This window comes from Homo sapiens, chromosome 5 (genome assembly GCF_000001405.40).
Source record: "Homo sapiens chromosome 5, GRCh38.p14 Primary Assembly".
Classification (NCBI taxonomy): Eukaryota; Metazoa; Chordata; class Mammalia; order Primates; family Hominidae; genus Homo; species Homo sapiens.
In genome coordinates, this window is record NC_000005.10 from 10125257 (window position 1) to 10127981 (window position 2725).

The following is a 2725-nucleotide window of genomic DNA, read 5'->3' on the forward strand; positions in this document are numbered from 1 at the left end:
TGCTGGCCCCCACCAGCAGCTGGGAGAGAGACGAGGAGGGATTCTCCCCAAAAGCCTCAGAGGAGCGAGGCCCGGCCAGCACCTGGACTTCAGACTTCTAAACTCCAGAACTGCAGACAACACACTTCTGTTGTTTTAAGCCACCCAGTTTGTGGTACTTTGTTGACAGCCGTAGCGAACTAATACATCTACCACAAAGTAGAGGGTGGCAGCCATCCAGTTATCCAGTGAGTAATTGCTAGGCACCCTCTAGACATTGAGGAGACTTTTCTAATCATGAAGGGGTGCACAGGAGAAGGATAACGGACAAAGAAATGCCTAAGACAATGTCAAGGACGAATGCCACTCAGAGAATTGCCACAGCGAGGGCCCAGTGGCTCCTGTGGACTGGACGGTCAGGAACAGTGCCTCTGAGGAGGGACACTTAGGCTGAGAGATGAAAGAAGAGAAGGGGCCGTTCCTGGCAGAGGGAATGGATAAAACAAAAACCTTAAGGTTGCAGCTGGGCGTGGAGGCTCACACCTGTCATCCCAGCACTTTGGAAGGCTGAGGCAGGAGGCCCTCTTGAGGCGCTGGACGTGGAGGTTCACACCTGTCATCCCAGCACTTTGGAAGGCTGAGGCAGGAGGCCCTCTTGAGGCGCTGGACGTGGAGGTTCACACCTGTCATCCCAGCACTTTGGAAGGCTGAGGCAAGAGAATCTCTTGAGGCCAAAAATTCGAGAACAGCCTGGGCACATAGCAAGACCCTGTCTCAACCAAAATTTAAAATCAAAACCCAAAAAAGCCTTGCAGTGGGAAACAGGTGGCATACTTGAGGAACGGGAAGCAAGGTTCTCCATCTGGAACAGAGGGGAGGAGATGCAATCAGAGATGGGTAGGACTCAAACGATGTGCTCCAGGGCGTTCAGATCCTACAATCCCCACAGGCAGGGCATTTCCAGACACCACCTGTGTGAGTTTCCTGGGGCTGCCGTGAGAAATGACTCCAGACTGGGTGCCTTAAAACAATGGAAATCTATTATCTCACAGATGAGGAGGCCAGACGTCTAAAACCCAGGTGTCTGCAGCGGGAGCTCTGAGAGAGGGCCTGTTGCATGCCTGTCTTCTGCTCCGTGGCCGCAGCCGTCCCTGGCACTCCTTGGCTTACAGACGCTCATTCCCACTCCAACTCCACGTGGCCTTCTCCTCCCCATGTCTCTCTTGGTCTGTGTCCAAATTTCCCTCCTGTAAGGACCTCCATCATTGGATTAAGGCCCATCCTAATCCAGCATGGCCTCATCTCAACATGGCTGCATCTGCACAGGGCCCCCTGTGTTTCCACATTCAGAGAGCAGGGGTTAGGATTCCAACACACCTTTCCCAGGATACGGTTCAACGCACAACACTACCCAAGGCCTGCTTTCTCCTCAGGGCCCCACTGGTACTAGCAGTGGATGGGGAAGGCTGAGTGCCCTCCCATATGGCCAAGGGAGGCCCAGATGCAGCCCACACACGGCACTGCCATGGCCCAGACAGCCCATGGAGGGGGGAGCCCCACCTACTACAGCTGGCCACTGATGGCCAGGCCTCCATGGTGCCAGGGAAGAAGATGACAAGGACTGACAATTCTTCCCCCACCAGCGCAGACACAGACAGCCAGGGTTGCTCAGCACTGCACGCCATGCAGCCCCAGACAAAGGGAAGAAGACCGCAAACCAACTGAATTCACACATCAGGCACCTAGCAGAGCAGGGCCCAGGCAGACAACAGAGCTGCAGGCCAATCGCGATGGCCCCTGGCCTGCACCCCTGTGTATGGTGGGGTTCTGCCCTCCTAGGGAATCTGCCGCAGCCACAGCCCTGCTGGGAGTCAGGTGTATCCGGCACAAGGGTGGGCCCTGTGTGAGACTCATCTCCTGGGACCAGAGTGACACAGGCTTAGTGGCACTACCTGGTGTGCCCTCCCCCACCCCAACTGGTCCTGTTCCCAGATCCCCCAGGCATGATGAAGGGGATTCAGTGGGGAGGGGAAGGACAGGGCTCTGTTATTCAGACCCACAAGACACTGGGGCAGGCACACCACAGCACAAAGGGAGTGCAGGGAGAGGGGCTTTCTCCCAGCTCCCGGCCTCAGGGAGCACAAAACCCTGGGCACCCCGAGGGCTCCAGCATTTCCGTGGAGCAGTAGAGGTTCCCGAGGCACCATGCCCGGGAATGGCAGTGCCTGAGAGGTGGTGGCGCTGGGGAAGCGAGGCTCACTTGGGGACCCTCCACGCAGTGCAGGAGGCCGCCAGCTCCAGGAGCTGCTGCAGAAGAAGGAGATAGACTATGGGGAAGAGGGTGGGACTGCTTCATGAGAACCAAGGAAAAGCCCCCAGACTCCCAGCAACAGAAGGACCTTCAAAGTCCCCCGGCATAGCAGGAGATAGGTGTCATCAGTGTGCAGGCAGCTCCGTTAGGACTTCACGGCACAGCCTGGGGAGCCCAGAATAAGCTCCCATTCCCACTGCTTAGCTGCACAATTGAGCTCATCCGTTTCAGGTCCAGCATGGAGCCAGTTTCCAAAATGCCACCTACATATTCTATGGTTCAATCAACATCATGGCAAACTAAACAGTAGGCAGCCACCTGGCTGTCATTCTGCCCTGAAGGGTAAGATGACGAGGTCTGTTGTTATGAACTGAAGTTTGTGTCCCCCCAGAATTCACATGCTGAAGCTCTAACACCCAGTGTGGCTGTATTTGG

General features: G+C 56.0%; 1 annotated feature.

The window, feature by feature from the left end:
• Positions 1767-2417: an enhancer, noted in NCBI's record as "H3K27ac-H3K4me1 hESC enhancer chr5:10127135-10127785 (GRCh37/hg19 assembly coordinates)". NCBI's record gives its function as "activates a minimal SCP1, AML or CMV promoter by ChIP-STARR-seq in primed H9 embryonic stem cells {active_cell/tissue: H9 hESC(primed)}" and the evidence as "EXISTENCE:reporter gene assay evidence [ECO:0000049][PMID:30033119]".